At 32.9% G+C, this 18,922-nt stretch overlaps 1 protein-coding gene and 1 long non-coding RNA gene across 27 annotated transcripts in view; both read right to left on the reverse strand.

The window, feature by feature from the left end:
• Window positions 1-18,922, reverse strand: part of NOL4 (nucleolar protein 4) — a 373,814-nt gene that overhangs the window by 312,425 nt on the left and 42,467 nt on the right. The window lies entirely within an intron of this gene.
• Window positions 1,824-11,026, reverse strand: LOC124904279 (uncharacterized). 2 transcript variants are annotated; one of them, XR_007066330.1, is made up of 2 exons: window positions 8,060-11,026; window positions 1,824-2,023 (listed from the first exon to the last, which is right to left on the reverse strand). It is a non-coding gene; the product is annotated as an uncharacterized LOC124904279 (long non-coding RNA). The 2 variants fall into 2 exon arrangements; XR_007066329.1 differs by lacking the exon at window positions 8,060-11,026 and adding an exon at window positions 3,134-3,163.

Consider the following 18,922-nt stretch of genomic DNA (forward strand, 5'->3'; position numbering starts at 1 on the left):
AACTTACAAGGGATGTGAAGGACTCTTCAAGGAGAACTACAAACCACTGCTCAGTGAAATAAAAGAGGATACAAACAAATGGAAGAACATTCCATGCTCATGGGTAGGAAGAATCAATACCGTGAAAATGGCTATACTGCCCAAGGTAATTTATAGATTCAATGCCAACCCCATCAAGCTACCAGTGACTTTCTTCACAGAACTGGAAAAAACTACTTTAAAGTTCATATGGAACCAAAAAAGAGCCCGCATCGCCAAGTCAATCCTAAGCCAAAAGAACAAAGCTGGAGGTATCACACTACCTGACTTCAAACTATACTACAAGCCTACAGTAACCCAAACAGCATGGTACTGGTACCAAAACAGAGATATAGATCAATGGAACGGAACAGAGCCCTCAGAAATAATGCCGCTTATCTACAACTATCTGATCTTTGACAAACCTGAGAAAAACAAGCAATGGGGAAAGGATTCCCTATTTAATAAATGGTGCTGGGAAAACTGGCTAGCCATACATAGAAAGCTGAAACTGGATCCCTTCCTTACACCTTATACAAAAATTAATCCAAGATGGATTAAAGACTTAGACGTTAGACCTAAAACCATAAAAACCCTAGAAGAAAACCTAGGCATTACCATTTAGGACATAGGCATGGGCAAGGACTTCATGTCTAAAACACCAAAAGCAATGGCAACAAAAGCCAGAATTGACAAATGGGATCTAATTAAACACAAGAGCTTCTGCACAGCAAAAGAAACTACCATCAGAGTGAACAGGCAACCTATAAAATGGGAGAAAATTTTCACAACCTACTCATCTGACAAAGGGCTAATATCCAGAATCTATAATGAACTCAAACAAATTTACAAGAAAAAAAACAAACAATCCCATCAAAAAGTGGGTGAAGGACATGAACAGACACTTCTCAAAAGAAGACATTTATGCAGCCAAAAAACACATGAAAAAATGCTCACCATCACTGGCCATCAGAGAGATGCAAATCAAAACCACAATGATACCATCTCACACCATTTAGAATGGCAATCATTAAAAAGTCAGGAAACAACAGGTGCTGGAGAGGATGTGGAGAAATAGGAACACTTTTACACTGTTGGTGGGACTGTAAACTAGTTCAACCATTGTGGAAGTCAGTGTGGCGATTCCTCAGGGATCTTGAACTAGAAATACCATTTGACCCAGCCATCCCATTACTGGGTATATACCCAAAGGACTATAAATCATGCTGCTATAAAGACACATGCACACGTATGTTTATTGCGGCACTATTCACAATAGCAAAGACTTGGAACCAACCCAAATGTCCAACAATGATAGAGTGGATTAAGAAAATGTGGCACATATACACCATGGAATACTATGCAGCCATAAAAAATGATGAGCTCATGTCCTTTGTAGGGACATGGATGAAACTGGAAGTCATCATTCTCAGTAAACTATCGCAAGGACAAAAAACCAAACACCGCATATTCTCACTCATAGGTGGGAATTGAACAATGAGAACACATGGACACAGGAAGGGGAACATCACACTCTGGGGACTGTTGTGGGGTGGGGGAAGGGGGGAGGGATAGCATTAGGAGATATACCTAATGCTAAATGACGAGTTAATGGGTGCAGCACAACAGCTAGCACATGTATACATATGTAACTAACCTGCACATTGTGCACATGTACCCTAAAACTTAAAGTATAATAATAATAAAATAAAATAAAATAAAGACTGTGTATAGACTAGTGTTTAAAACCTCAGTTTACATCCTTAGTATCTCACAGCAGATGGGAAATGATCAGAACACCCATGTTCCAGTGTGTAGATGTTTAATTGAATGGGAAAGTAAGTAGAAAAGCTTTTAGTCTTCTGGACTGGTTCTTCTGCCATTTGAAAAGGTTAGCCTAGCACACCACCCTTTGTGTATTTCACATAGCATTAGAAGCCTCAGTGGGTATTGCATGCTTTCCAGCTGGGTCTCAATGTTTGCATATTGAAGTGCTGCTTTATTTCTGTCAATGCACAATATATAGTAGGACATTAAATTACAGAGAGTAACAAATATCTTCTTATGAAAGCTTTCACAATGAATAATTATCTTATTTGACATTAGTGTACACTAGAATTAAGGAGACTAGAAAAAGTTAAGAGGTGATCTTAAAGAATCTAGAATCAGATATCATACCCCAAATACGTAATTTTTATTAATAGTAGACATCTCTAGATAATCAAACCAGAGGTGATTCTTTTTTTCTTCTGCTTTTTTTAACTTTTAAATATATAATAAGCAGATATAATTGAATAATAACAATACTATATTTTTAAAATTGGTAAATAGGCTTTTTAAAGTATGTCATACATTTCTTTATTTTAATCTATTATTACTAACAACACTTTCTTTCAATATTTTAGAATGTTTAAGCTGTAACTGTGTACTAGAAAAAAGCCAATAGAATAAAAATTTACAAAATATGTCTTTCCAAAAGTTGGGAAATTTTCACCGATTCTTAAAAACAATTACAGGGCCAGATAAACTTTAGTCTCTAGCTTAGTTAATAAACAATATGATATTACAAGAAACTGTAATATTTTAAATATTCATTAATATTTGTATAAGCTTTTCAAATTTTAAAAGCACATGATGAAATGCTGACAGTTTTTATCTACTGATGTTTCAGAATATAACATTATAGTTTATCTGAGCCAGTGGATACCAAGGAATTTATAAGTTGGAGTCAAAGTATTTGATGAAAAGGCATTAATAAAACAATAAAAGAACAACATAAAAATAGCCAACTTGTAATTCCCTCTCAACAAGGTATGCCACTTTAAACAATGGATCTTGTATCTGGAACTGAAGTAAGTAAACAGACTTTGTCTAGAAGAGGGAAAAGGAGAACTGAAAGGTATTTGTTTTTTACAGAAAGTAGATAATGTGAAAATTTGTCTATCTCCATTTTCCCAAAGTCCCATTATCAAAGATCTATCATTTGAACTGGAGCCAATGGTAAATGTCCATAAATGCAATCATGTCACTAACACAATAGAAAAATATTAACTAAAGCTCATAAATTTATAACAATCATGCTGTAACTTTAACAAATATGGAATAATTTACATACAGTTGACCTTTTGGGTCTGCAAGTTCTGCATCTGCCAATTCAACCAACCATGGATGAATAATATTTGGGAAAAAATAAAAATATAATAGTAAAAAAAAGGCCGGGCGCGGTGGCTCACGCCTGTAATCCCAGCACTTTGGGAGGCCGAGGCGGGTGGATCATGAGGTCAGGAGATCGAGACCATCCTGGCTAACAAGGTGAAACCCCGTCTCTACTAAAAAATACAAAAAATTAGCCGGGCGCGGTGGCAGGCGCCTGTAGTCCCAGCTACTGGGGAGGCTGAGGCAGGAGAATGGCGTGAACCCGGGAAGCGGAGCTTGCAGTGAGCCGAGATTGTGCCACTGCAGTCCGCAGTCCGGCCTGGGCGACAGAGCGAGACTCCGTCTCAAAAAAAAAAAAAAAAAAAAAAAAAAAAAAAAAAAATAGTAAAAAAAAATATATAGTATAACAACTATTTACAAAGTCTTTATATCATATTAGGTATTATAAGTAACCTAGGGATGATTTAAAGTATACAAAGGGATGTGCATAGGTTATATGCAAATACTAGACCATTTTCTATCAGGGAATTGAGCATCACAGGAAGTTCCTGGACCCAATCCCTAATGGATACCAAGGGAATACCGTATAACGTTCAGTTCACCTTTAAAATAAGTCATCTTTGATTTCTTACACCTCCTACATATCCAGTTACTAAGTGTTAATTGTTAAACACTTCTCTAATCTGTCGATACTTGCTTGTATCTCTGGCTTGGATTACTTATTCAATTTACTACTTCTTCTACCTGTTTCATATTTTGGCCCCTTCATTCTTCTCTTAGGTGCCTAAAGTATCTTTCTAAAATGAAAAATCTGAGACTGTTTCCTCAAATAATTAGATAGATAGATAGATAGATAGATAGATAGACAGACAGACAGATAGATAGAGGTTTGTATGGGGAGAAGAAACAACCACATTTTAAATGTATTGTTAAGCTCACACATATGTATGTGAAATCTTCAAGGACCCCAAAATTAAAATTTAAATAAATGCTAAAATGAAACCAGATTAGTGAGCTATAACAGAAAACTAGAGCAGAGGCCTATCTGAGAGCAATTTCCTATACCAGGAACCATAACATCTGAGGACTGGAGGGAGTAGGGAGAAGCAGTGAAGTCTTGGATTCTAGTAAATTTGGGTAAATGTAGCTGTTTTATAAGTGCAAGGAATTGGAGGGAAAGGAATAATATAAAAATGACTACATTTTCGACAATATCTTCACATCCATTTTTCAGTGCACTAAATCTCTTTTTAATGTTATCTAAGCTTCTATTGAAACAATTGAGTTCCTGCATTTTACATTTTTTTCTGTTTTATTTTATAAATCTGTCTAGTCACTTTAATATCTTTTTTTCTTGATTCAAGGAGATAATGAAAGAATTTTCTATAAGTGACAAAATCATGAATTCAGAAATTTAGGAAAAATGTCATATATCAAGTAGGATAATTATTTTAAAATCTACACCTAGAACATTGCAATGAACCTGTAGAATACCCAAAAAAAGATAAAAATTTTAAGACTGTCAAGCAAGAGACTGATCCTCTACTACAAAAAGACAATAAAACTGCACATTTCTCAATAGGAAGTAAAATGGAATACAGAAAATAAAATTATGTGTGTAAATATTTAAATGTTTAAAAAGTTAAAATAAGAGATATAAATAAATTTTTTTTAGCCAGAAAATTAAGAAATTTTACCATTCACAGACTTTAACTAAAGGAACTTCTAAAGCAATAGTTTCAGGGGGGAAAAAAGGTCTGCAGAGTAAAAGCCCCACAGATAGGAAAAGAAAGTAGGGGGAAGAAAAACGAAAAAAACTAGTAAATTGGAAGATGAGTCTGAAAACAAGTGGATCTAGTAAGGATAATTGATATTTATGTTATTTATAATATATATTTTAAAAGAAATGTAAAAGAAGAAGAAGAAGGCTATTGTCCATGTTCTGGAGTTCAAAAGAAAAAAATTAAACCCTTGATAACAAAAGATTTTAATTCACTACAATATGGTAGGAGTCAAAGGATTAGCAGAAATATTAAGATGTAGAATTTAATATGTTTGCATTTTCAAATTTAAACGGAAACTTCTAAGATAATTCTAATTTATAAATTCCAAACCAATCAAGAGGGAAGGTGAATAAAAAATAATTTTACAGTTAAAAGTAGTGGATAAGGAAACATTAAAAAATAAACAAGATAGATATGACAAGAATACAAAGAATGCGATATTAAAAATAGAAATATACAAATACTTACAATATCTTATAAAAAATTAATGCAAACCAAAACACATTTTCAGACATACAAAGCTAAAATAATTCACTACTACCAGATCTGTTTATAATAAATATCAATATCCTTTAGGCAGAAATGTCTTTCAAGCAGAATAAAATGATGTCAGTTGGAAATACAGATCTATAAAAAGGGAAGAAGAGCACCAGAAATAGTAACCACATGAATATATGATTTTTATTGTTATTTTCTATAAATCACTTTAAATATAATTGATATCTGAACAAAATAACAGTGTATATTGGGATTTATCACATATGTATAGGAGAAATATATAACAACAATAGCATAAACCAAGAAGGAAATAGAAGTATTCTAAGCTCCTTACATCATGTAAGTGGCATAATAATTCTTGAAGGTAGACTTAAATAAGGTAAATAAGTATACTGTAAACCCTAAAGTAACCATTGGTATTTAACTAATTTTTAATGTGCAGGAAAAAGAAGGTGAAAAAAACAAATAACAGATTGGGCAAACAGGAAAAAAAAAAAAAACAGCAAGATGATGATGGAAACCTAACCACATTAAATGTATATGTTCTAATGAACATCCAATTGAAAGTCAGACATCAGATTAAAAGGCAAGCTCCAAATATATGCCACTTACAAAAAATGTACTTCACATTTAAAGTCACAAATAGTTAACCAATAAAGGGATAGAAGAATATGCACCATGCCAATACTACAAGGGCTAGGTTATCAATGGAATACAAGGTTGGTTTAACATTTAGAAAATCAATTGTCATCCATTGTATTAACAAACTAAAAAGAAAAATGTTCATCTCAATAACACAAAAAAACACATTTGACAAAATCCCACATCCATTTCTAATAAAAACTCTCAGGAAAGTAGGAATAAGGAACTTCCTTATCAGAATTAAGGACAAAATTTTACTATATTTTATACATAATATGCACTAATATACAATTATTTTTCTATTTTTAATCAATTCTCTCTCTTGCTTTTTAGACTTTGTATATGCTGTTCTGTTTCTTCCATTTAACTGCCATCTCTGACATTCTACAGATCCTTTTTGGAAACTCTACTGGCAATCATAAGCATATTTTTAGTTAAATATCTCAAGGATAAAGGTAGAAACTTGCACTTTCCAACCAGTAGTCAGTAGCAACATGTGGGTATTGAGCCCTTGAAATGTGAATAGTCTGAATTGAGATGGGCTGTTTAAGAACTATTTTTTTTTTTTTTTTGAGACGAAGTCTCATTCTCGTTGCCCAGGCTGAAGTACAATGGCATGATCTCAACTCATGGCAACCTCTGCCTCCTGGGTTGAAGCGATTCTCCTGCCTCAGCCTCCCGAGTAGCTGGGATTACAGGCACGTGCCACACTGCCTGGCTAATTTTTGTATTTTATTTTATTTTTTTTAGTAGAGAGATGGGTTTCACCATGTTGGCCAGGCTGGTCTCAAACTCCTGACCTCAGGTGATCCACCCACCTCAGCCTCCCAAAGTGCTGGGATTGCAGGTGTGAGCCACCACGCCCGGATGATAATTCTCTAAAACATAAAAAGTAAAATACCTCCCTTCATAATTGTTTTGAACTGATAACATGTTGAAATGGTAAAATGTTGAATATATTGGGTTAAATGAAATATGTTGTTAAAATTATTTTTATCTGTTTTTACTTTAAAATGACTACTAGAAAGTTCAAAAATTACATCTATGGCTTACATTATATTTCTATTGGATAGTGCTGGTGTAGCCATTTTTAATAGACTGAAAATTCTCATTAGGAAATTCTAATCATACCTAAAAATGATCCTCAAATCTTGCAAATGGTCTTTAAAAAGAGGATATCAATATACATACTATGGCTAAGAACTATGCTTCAAGCTTATTACAATTTCCCCTATAATAGACCAAGATGTTGAGCAGCCTAAATGAACACTAAATATATAATGAGTGTATATTTATGCACAGTTCTACCAGTAAACATCCAGTTTGCTATAAATAAAATACAGTTTTCTATAATTAAGCTAACATTGATCAGCATTTTTAGCAGATAGAACATGACTTTGAGGGAATAAATATTTGAGGCTTTCTTTTAATTCATAGAATAAATGGTTAGTTAGCCTCTCATTTTCTTGTCCACATAAGAAAAACTGCATTATAACTGTAGTTTACCAGATGTTACATTTACTGTTATTAGTTCAATTCAGGTTTATTGGTTCTTCAGGTAATCATACAACACATTTTCTTGGTTTATGTTATGAAATGTGATGTAGATTTAGGTTTTCTCAGCCTTCTACCACTCTAAGATCTCAATCCCCCTTTTGTTGTTGTTTTTTGTTTTGTTGTTTTCATCAAAGGCTACCATTAAGTAAAGAAGGTAGTACACTTTGTATAACCATTTGATAGGCTTGGCTAGTTCAAGAAATAATACAAAAGGAAAAGTTTCATCATAGAATAGAGAATAAATTTGTAATTAATTTGCTCTTATGAGCCACCATATCACCTATGTCATTCATCTCCCTAAAATTTAAAGTAGCAATCGAAGATATTGTAGAGTTTCCAGAATATTCACTTTGTACCCTCCTTCAAGAAGAAATAGTCAAATACCTGAATGACCATAGTCTTACTTGTTAAAAGTCCAATTAGGTTAACAGAGAAAACCAAAGCAGAGGAAAATTGGGCCTAGTGTGAAGGGAAAGTCAACATTCTTCTAGTAATGCTTGCTCTTACTTCATTTCTTCCTCTTCTACAAATAAAGAGATGATAATTGGATAGATATTTGAATGTAGTCACTCAGGAAAGTCAGAAACTTTGAGTCTGAGCCACATATTCTGACCATGACTTTTATCAAGTAGTATTCTAAGTCACTATTTTTATCAAGCAGCATTAAATTAAGACTCTTAGAACTACATTCTAGCCTTAATCAGAATTATACTCTCTATCCCAAATGGTAATCAAGTTCTTAAACATTACTAACTGGTGAACCATTTGGTGCAAAACTCCAATACAATACCCAGCAATGAAGCCTTGCCTGTACAAAAGAATGAGAGCTTTTGTACAAAAGCAAACACCTCAAAATGAGAACTTGACTTAACTTGTAGTTCTGGAGGCACAGAACAGAAGAAAGCTATGAAGAACAGAAGTCCTGGTTTTATGATATTTAATAAGGTATTCTAACATAAACGTAAAAGCTTTAAGATCAGGAACTAAAAGATTAATAATTATTTTTTCTATATCACTTGCAGCATTATTTAAAGCAAATGAACTAAATATTTTTGGATAACTACATCAAAGTATTTATTGAAATTAATCTTTTGACTAATATAACTGAATCACCCAGCTTTAAATGCTGATTAAAGTAAAAAATCAACTTATACTTCCAAGTAAATTAAAATTGTATTATTTTTTATTCCATTGTGCATATGCATGTGTGTATATACATATACTATTTTCTTTATTCATTCATGTGCCAATAGACACTTAGGTTTGTTTTCCATATCTTGGCTATTGTCAATAATGTTGCAATGAACATGCGAGTGCAGATATCTCTTCAAGATACTGATTTCATTCTTTTGAATTTATACCCAGAAGTAGAATTGCTGCACTATATGGTAGTTCTGTTTTTAATTTTTTGAGGAAACTATACTGTTTTCCATAATGACTATACAAATTCACTTTCTCACCAACAGTACACCAAGGTTCCCTTTTCTCCATATCAACACTTGTTTTTCTTGCCATTTTGATAGCCATCTTAACAGGTATGAGGTGATATCTCATTGTGGTCCTAATCAGCATTTCCCCAATGATTAGTGATGCTGATGAACTTTTCATATACCTGTTGGCCATATTTACGTCTTATTTGGAAAAGTATCTGTTCTGGTTTTTGCACATTTTAAATTGTGTTGTTTAGACTTTTTGCTGTTGAGTATCTTGCATTTTTTATATTAACCCCTTGTAAGGTATATGATATGAAAATATTTTCTCTCATTCCATAGGCTGTCTTTCAATGTTGTTGAATTTTTTTCTTTGCTCTGCAAACAGCTATTCAGTTTGATGTAGCCTGCCTTGCCTTGTTTTTGCTTTTTTTGCCTGTGTTTTTATTATTCAACAATAAAAAGAAGGAAATTCTGCCATTTGCAACAACATGGATGAGCCTAGAGGACATTACGCTAAACAAAACAAGCCAGATGCAGAAAGACAAATACTGAATGATTTTACTAATATATGGAATGTTTTAAAGATCAAGCTCATAGAAGCAGAGTAGAACAGTCATTTCCAGAGGCTGGAGGATGGGATAAAGAGATTTTGGTCAAAAACATAATCTTTCAGTAATAAAATAAAGAAGTTCTATAGATCTAATGTACAGCAAGGTGATTATAGTTAACAATACTGTATTATTTGATATTTGATGAGAGGGCAGGTTTTAAATGTCCCTACCATATGCACACATACATAAAAATGTTATCTATGAATATGGTGGATATGTTAACTTGACTATACACTTGTGCCATTACACAATGTATATGTGTATATCAGATCGTCATGTTGTATACCTTGGATATATAAAATGTTTATTTGTTAATTAATTAAAATAAAATAATAAAATAGTGTTTTAAAGTTATTTGATATGAAAATAAATAAGTAAGGAAAAAATCAATTTCCCTCTGTATCCACCAAATAAATGCTGAAAGAATATTTTTAAAGTATCTGTTTAAGTGGTGCCAAGTTACCAACCTGCTGTGGGGCTCCACATATCTTGATCTGTCTCAGCCTATGACAGAGTGTTATATGAATTATTGAAAGGCAAATCTTTGCCATGTTCACAGATATTACAGATGTATGAATTTTAAATCTTGGCAGTGCCATGTGTTGTATGAATGCATTTTTACTAAGGAAAAGGATCCTCTGAACATGAGTGATATGTTCACCTTTTCTAATGTGAATGATATAATATCTATTTTAACTTCAAACGTAATCATTATTAACTACTTTCTCATTTAGGAGCCTCCAATTAATGCCGATTCATGATTCTGATTAATTATTTCAATTGAACTTTAAAAATCTCTTATGAAACATGACCTAATGGAGTGAATCAGAGCCAGAGCAGCTGAACAGTACAATACCATGTAACAATAAGTGAAGTGGATAATGACTGGCAAACTGTCTTACATCATTCAATGAGTAGTGTCCTACCAATTTGCTTGCTCCTTTAGGGGACCCGAAACTAAAGTGTCAGGCTAAAATTGTACTGTTCAAAGAAGGAAACTTAATCTGTACTATTTAAATCCAGGGCACAGAAGTAAAATCAGTGAAAATGGCAGAGAAAGAACCTCTGAAAATTTGCTCTTCATAAAAAATTTTAAAACTGGCAAACACTGTCAAAATCAACTTTTCAAAAACTCTTAATTTATCAAAGTTTCACAACAATCCAATATGTATTTGTTAAAAAGAAATAAAAAAGCTAAGTCTTGGTGAAAAAACCTAAAAATTTGGGGTGTTTTAGCTTGCTCTAGATTCATCTTCTGCTCTGTATGTTTCAGTAGCCTTGAAAAATAATGGTCCACATTTTTTTTCCTTTTTTTATTGTGTTTTAAGTTCTAGGGTACATGTGCAGAACATGCAGTTTTATATTACATAGATAGATAGATGCCATGGTGGTTTGCTGCACCCATCAGCCCGTCACCTACATTAGGTACTTCTCCTAATGCTATCCCTCTGCTAGCCCCCCACCTCCCGACAGGCCCCGGTGTGTGATGTTCCCCTCCCTGTGTCCATGTGTTCTCATTGTTCAACTACCACTTATGAGTGAGAACATGCGGTGTTTGATTTTCTGTTCTTATGTGAGTTTGCTGAGAATGATGGTTTCCAGCTTCATCCATGTCCATGCAAAGGACATGAATTCATCCTTTTTTATGGCTGCATAGTATTCCATGGTGTCTATGTGCCACATTTTCTTTATCCAGTCTATCACTGATGGACATTTGGGTTGGTTCAAAGTCTTTGCTATTGTGAATCATTGTGGCAACTCCTCAAGGATCTAGAACTAGAAATACCATTTGACCCAGCAATCCCATTACTGGGTATATACCCAAAGGATTATAAATCATTCTACTGTAAAGAACACATGCACTTTACATGTTTTTTACATATGTTTATTGCGGCACTATTCACAATGGCCCACATTCCTATACAGCCTGGTAGCCACCAGAGAAAGGAGAATGGAACTGGGGCTTTTTCAACGCCTCAATCCTAAAGAATTATCACATTATTTTACATGTCTAGTGCTTCCATGGAAGACCCCACTTAACAGGCTGCCTCTTGTCGACCTGACTTGGATTTCACCCAGTGTGAAAAACCTTCTCCTCAGCACCCATGTAAAAAACAATTACAGGAAAATGTTTTATCTTTGCAGCTGCCTAAAGCTGTGGATAACAGTTGAATCAAATAGTAAACTAAACAAAAAGCTTAAAGGAAAAACTAGCGAATGAAAAAATCCATAGATTCTTGAAACTCTGCAGCATATTCCCTAGGAATCCAGATGACCACACATGTACAGATATATGTGCATGCTCAGAAAAAATCTAAGACTGGGCTAAGCTTTCACCTCTGACTGAACTTAAGGCACTGTACAAGCAAGAGGTAAAGGTTAGGAAAGAGCTCTCAACTTTAGGTGAATGTCAAATATTTGTGCTAATGTAGACTACAGACCCCATTGGCAGAGGCTGGAGAATTTATTGGTTCCAAGCATTAAAGGAAATCACTGTTCTATTATTAGATCACTATGCTGAGAAATGACTTCAGTTGCTACACATGACAAAGAATATAGACTTTAAAAATTAAATTTAGAAAATTTACTAAACAATTAACAACTATAAATACAATAAGCAGCAACAGCAAATCTTGGGGAGAGACAAGAATCTCATTCTAGAGATCCCATATAATATTATTTAAAATATCAATTTTCATTAAAAAATGAATGGCACAAAGGAACAAGAAAGTATGTTCCACAAGCAGGAATAAAAACAATCAATAGGAAATGTCTTGGAGGAAACTAGTTTATTGGATTTACTGGACAAAGACTTTAAATCAGCCAATTTAAATATGTTCAAAGAGCTAAAGAAGAGTATAAGAACATTGTCACACTAGCTGGAGAATATTAATAAGAACACGGAAATTATTTAAAAAAATAAAGGACCAAGTGGAAATCCTGGATTTGAAAAGGAGAATCAATGAAATTAAAAATTTACTAGAGTATCTTAGTAGCATATTTGAACACGAAGAAGGAAGTATCAATGAGCATGAAGTCAAGTGATATTATTATCTGAGGAACAAAAACAAGAATAACAAAGAAAAGTGAACAGAACCTTAGAGGCCTGCAAGATATCATCAATCAGTCCTAGGAAACAAAAGAGAAATGAGGAGAAAGAATATGTGAAATAATAACAGAAGAAAAACTTCCCAAATTTGATGAACATTAATTTACACATCCAGAAAACACACTGAACTCCCCATAGGTCAAACTCAAAGAGGTCCACACACAGTGCTATGGACTGAATTGTGTTCCCCTCAATGTTCATATGTTGAAGCCCTAACCAAATATAATGGTATTTGGAAATGGGGCTTTGGGAGGCAATTAGGGCTAAATGAGATCATAAGAATGGGCTCTCATAATAGGACTGGTGCCCTTATATGTAGAAATATTGAGAGCATGAGCGCTCTCTCTCTCTACCATGAAAGTATGCAGAGAGAAAGTGTTCATCTACAAGCCAGGAAGAGAGCTCTCTCTAGGAGCTGACAATACCGTCACCTTGATCTTAGACTTGCGTTTCCAGAACTATGAGAAAATTAATTTCTGTTTGTTAAGCCACCAAGTGTATGGTATTTTGTTATGGCAGCCAAAAATGCTAAGCTACCTATATACATCACAAACTGTCAGTAGCCAAAGACAAATAAAAATTACTGAAAGCAATAAGAGAGAAGTAACTCATCACATAGAAGGGATCCTTTATAAGATAGAGTTGATATCTTTTTTTTTAAATACAGGAATGGTCATAGTTATTTAAAATAGCCCCAAACTGGAAACAATCCAAATGTGCAGCAACAGACAAATAGGCGAATGATATGTCAAACCTACTGGCATACTAGTAGGCAATAAAAAGGTATAACTTATTGATGCATGTAACATGGATGAGTGAAAATAAGCAAGTCAAAAAAAGAGTGCATTGATTATTCCATTTACATAAAATTCTAGAAATTGCAAACTACTATATAGCATAGTGACATAAAGCAGAGTAGTGCTTGCCTAAAGATAGGGATAGATGGGTCATGGAGAGGCAGGAGGAATGGATTACAAAGAGGCATTAGGAAATTTTGGGGAGTAATGGATATGTTCATTATCCTGACTGCTTTACATGTGCATTCATATGTCAAAATGTATCAAGTTGTACATATGAAATATGTACAATTTATTGTACGTCAATCATACCTAAATAAATTTGTTAAAACTTCAAATAATAAACTTAAACAAATCTAGCTGATATGGTTTAGCATGAAAACTGAGACAGGCTGAGTGTGAGTCCCCTTTTTGCTGAATATCAGAACTAGAAAATACACATTTAATTAGCACAGGTGTGTTCAGGCTAGGCTGCTATTAGGTTTTTCGCGGGATGTTTTCAAGAAGATAGAGTTAATTTCTAATAAGAAATTAGGAAGGCCAAAGCAATGGCCAGACGTCATGGAAGCCAGAATGTACATAGTCAAAGCACTAAAGAAAATAATCCTGTCAACTAGAATTCTATATCCAGAAAATCTATTCTTCAAAAATAAGGATAAATTAGTTCCCAGATAAACAAAAATTCAAAGAATTTGTCACTAGCATACTTGAACTAAAAGAAATGATGAAGGAATTTTTCAGCTTGAAATGAAGAAAACTAGAAAGTAATTTGAATCCACAAGAAGAAATAAAGACCTCTACTAATGGGTAACCACACAGATAAGTATATGAAGGGAGAGTTAAATATAAATGATGTATTTTTTGTTTGTACCTCTTTTTTCCTACCTAGCTTAAAAGACAACTGCATAATTCAATCATTATAACCTTGTGTTGATGGACAAACAATGTATAGAGATATAATCTGTGGCAGCATAAGGACTAGTTGAGACTATTTAGGAGCACAAGTTTTATATACTATTGATATTATGTTGGTATAAATGTTAACTAGATTGTTATAGATTAAGATATTAATGGTAATCCCCACAACAACCACTAAGAAAATAACTCAAAAACATATTGTTAAAAAAACAAGATGTGTATTAAAATGGTAAACAAAAAAATAACTACTCAATACAAAGGAAGACAGTAAAGAAGGAATTGCGGGGAAGAAAAACAGACACAGACATAGAAAACAAATAGCAAAATAGAAGCAGGTTATTTTGTATCAGTAATGATATTAATTTTAATGGACTAAATTAATGGATAAAAATTATCCAAAAATATGCATACAATGGACATATATGATATTCTGACACAAAAATGTTGAAAGTAAAAGGATGAAAACACATACGCTGCAAAGGGAAACCAAAAGAGAAGTGGAGAGGTTATAAAAATATCAGATCAAATATACTTTAAGGCAAAAGTTGTACTATAGAGAAAAAAGGACAGTTTTTCATGATAAAGTTGTCAAGCCATCAAGAATATATGACAATTTTCAATATGTGTACTTAACAACAGAGCCACAAGATACAAGAAATAAAAACTGACAGAATGGAGGGGTGAAATAGTTCAGAAATAATAGTTGGAGACTTAACCCAATTTCAAAAATGGATAGAATAACTAGACAGAAGACCAGAAAAGAAATAGAGAACTTGACAATGTGATAAACCAACCTGTTTGGACAGCTACAGAATACTTCATCCAACAATAGCTAAAATACATAGTTTTCTCTATTGTACATGTAGCATTCTCTAGGATAAGTGATATTTTAGACTATAGAACAAGTCTCAAAATAATAAAAATGACTTAAATCATACAAGGTATGTTTTATGACCACAATATAATGAAATTAGACATCAACAACATAAATCAATTTGGAAAATTCACTAATGTGGAAATTAAACAACGTGCTCTCAAAACTAATGAGTCAAAGAAGAAGTCATAAAGGTAATTAGAAAATACTCTGAGATGAATGAAAATAAAAACACAACGTATCAAAACTTATAGGATGCAGCAAAATAACTTCTTTGAGCAAAACCTGACTGTAAATGCCTGCATTTAAAAAAGAAAGATCTCAAAAACAAACAAAAATAACAAAACAAACAAAAAACAGCCTTCCACCTTAATAAACTAGAAAGAAAAATCACACTAAACTCAAGACAAGCAGAAATAAGGAAATAATAGTGATTATAGTAGAAATAAATGAAATAGATACTAGAAAAAACAGAGAATAATCAATAAGACCGTAAGTTGGTTGGTTTGTGGTAAAGATCAGCAAAACAGATACATCTTTAGCTAGAATAAATTATTTTTAAAGAAAGAAAATACTCAAATTACTAAAAGAATGAAAAAAAAGTATATTACTACCAACTTACATTTTTAAAAAAGATTATAAGGTGATACTACAAACAGCTGTTTACCAAAAAAATAGATTAATATGTTTAATAATGAACAAATTCATAGAAAGACCCCAACTAACAAAACTAATTGCTATGGCCTAAATACTTGTGTTCCCCAAAATTCATATATTGAAACCGAATCACCATTGTGAAGGTATTAGGATGGGGGATATCTTTTGCCATGTGAGCACACAGCAAGAAGATACTCTCTGTGCACCAGAAAGCAGGCCCCTATCAGAAATTAAATCTTCCAGTGATTTGATCTAGGATTTCCCAGACTTCAGAACTGTAAGATATAAATTTCTTTTGTTTATAAACTACTCAGTTTATGGTATTTTGTTTTAGCACCCCAAATGGAGTAAGACAATCAGTCTAGAAAAAGTAGAAAAAAGGATAAACCTGTGATGATTAAACAGATTGAAAAAAAAAATACTTTCTACAAAGAAAGCCAAAGACCACATGGCTTCACTGGTGATTTTATCAAATATTTTAAAAAGAATTAACATCTTCTCTTTACATAGTCTTCCAAAAATTAGAAGAGGGAGAGGAAACACTTACCAATGCATTCTATAAGGCAAGTATTAGCCTTATCCCAAAATCATGCAATGATTTCACAGGAAAACAAAATTACAGAACAATATCCTTTATTAATATAGACACAAACATCTTCAAAAAATATTAGCATACCAAATTCGGCAACATATACAAAAGCATATGCTATCACCATATGGAATTTATCTCATATGGATAAATGCAAAGCTGATGGAATAGATAAAAATTAGCAATGTAATATCTCATAAAATAAAGTAAAAACACATGATTATCTAAAGAGATGCAGGAAAAGTATTTGAGAAAAATCCAACATGCTTCCATGACAAAAAAGCTCAACAAACTGGGGACTTAAAGAAACATCCTCCACCTGATTAAGGGGATCTACAAAAAACCAACAAGTAACATTAAGCATAATATCCCCCCAAGATCAGGAAGGAGACAAGAGTGTATGCTTCTGTCACTTCTATTCAACACTATAGTGGAGATTCTAGCTAAGACAATTAGGCAAGAAAAATAAAAGCATCCATGATGAAAAAAGAGGAAGTATATAACTATATTTGCAGATGACATGATCTTGTATAGAGAAAATCCTAAGGAATCCCCTGAAACACTGATAGAATTAATAAATGATGTCAATATTTTTAAAATGTTTCATTTTATATACTAGCAATGAAAAATCTAAACTGAGACTAAGAAAGCAATCTATTTTATACCATTAAAAAGAATAAAATAGGCAAAAATAAATTTAACAAAATAAATGACTTGTACACTGTAAACTTTCAAAACATTATTGAAATAAATTAAGATTAAAATAATGAAAATATACTCCAAGATTATAGGTTGTAAGACAATATTTTTATGATGGCAATACTCTATAAATTATCTACAGATTCAACAAAATCCCTATCAAAATTCCAAATGTCTTTTTTTGGAAGGAGGCCAAAAATTGGCAGGCTAATTCTAAATTTCATATGGAAATGCAATGAATCCAGAAAAGCTCAATCTGAAAAAGAATAAAGTTGGAGAACTCATGCTACCAAATTTCAAAATTTATTGCAAAGATACAATAATCAAAGCAGCATGGTATTAGAACGAAGATAGACATGTAGATCAATGGAATGTAATTGAGCATCCAAAAGTAAACACATATAGTTATGTAAAATAATTTTTGACAAGGGTGCCAAGACAATTCACTCTGGTAAATAATAATCTTTTCCACAAATGGTGCTGTGACTACTAGATATGCACACGTTAAAAATGAATTTGAATACCTATGTCATATCATATCCAAAAATCAACTCAACATGGATCAACCACCTAAATGCAAGTGCTAAAGCTATAACAATCTTAGAAGAAAACAGAAGTACACATCATTATGACCTTGCTTTAAGTAACAGTTTTTAAAATATGACATATACAGTATAAGCAGCCAAAGAAAAAATAGAGAAGTTAGACTTCATCAAAATTAAAAACTTTTGCATATAAATAACACTATCAAAGAAGTCACAAGCCAACCCAAAGAGTGGAAAATATTTGCTCATTATATATTTGAGAAGGGTCTAATTCTAGATTACATAAAGAACTCTTGCAGCTTAACACTGAAAAAAAAATTGAAGTGGGCTAAGTGTTTGAATAAACATTTCTCCAAAGACATACAAACATCCAATAAACACATTAAATTATGCATAACATCATTAGTCATTAGGGAAATGCAAATCAAAACCACAATGAGATGCTACTTCACATCCATTAGGATGGCTGTGATGAAAAGACAAAAAGAAAATAACAAATGTTAGCATGTTAGGATGTGGAGAAATGGGAACCTCATAACGTTGCTCTGGGGATCTAAATGGTACAACTACCTTGAAAAGAGTCTGGCAGTTCTCCAAAAAGTTAAGCACAAACTGACCATATGACCCAACAATTCCATTCCTGGGTTTATATCCAAGAAAACAAAAAAATATATATCAGCACAAAAACTTATACACAAATGTTCATAGCAGCATTATTTGTAATAGCTGAAAAATGGAAACAACTCAAACTTCTATCAACTAATAAATGGATTAACAAAATATGGCATATCGGTATAATGGAATATTCATCCATAAAAAGAATGATATGCTGAGGCACACTATAACATGCCTGAAACTTGAGAACATGCTAAATGAAAGAAAACAGATAGGAAGTTCCCATACTGTATCAATACATTTATATAAAATGTTTAGAATAAGCAAATCCCATTAAGATAGAAAGTTGAATAGTTGTTAGGGGCTGGAAGGACAGGAAAATAAGCACTGAATGCTAGCAGGTGTGAATGATTTTTTTCT

The sequence above is a fragment of the Homo sapiens genome, chromosome 18, assembly GCF_000001405.40.
Source record: "Homo sapiens chromosome 18, GRCh38.p14 Primary Assembly".
NCBI classification, from domain to species: domain Eukaryota; kingdom Metazoa; phylum Chordata; class Mammalia; order Primates; family Hominidae; genus Homo; species Homo sapiens.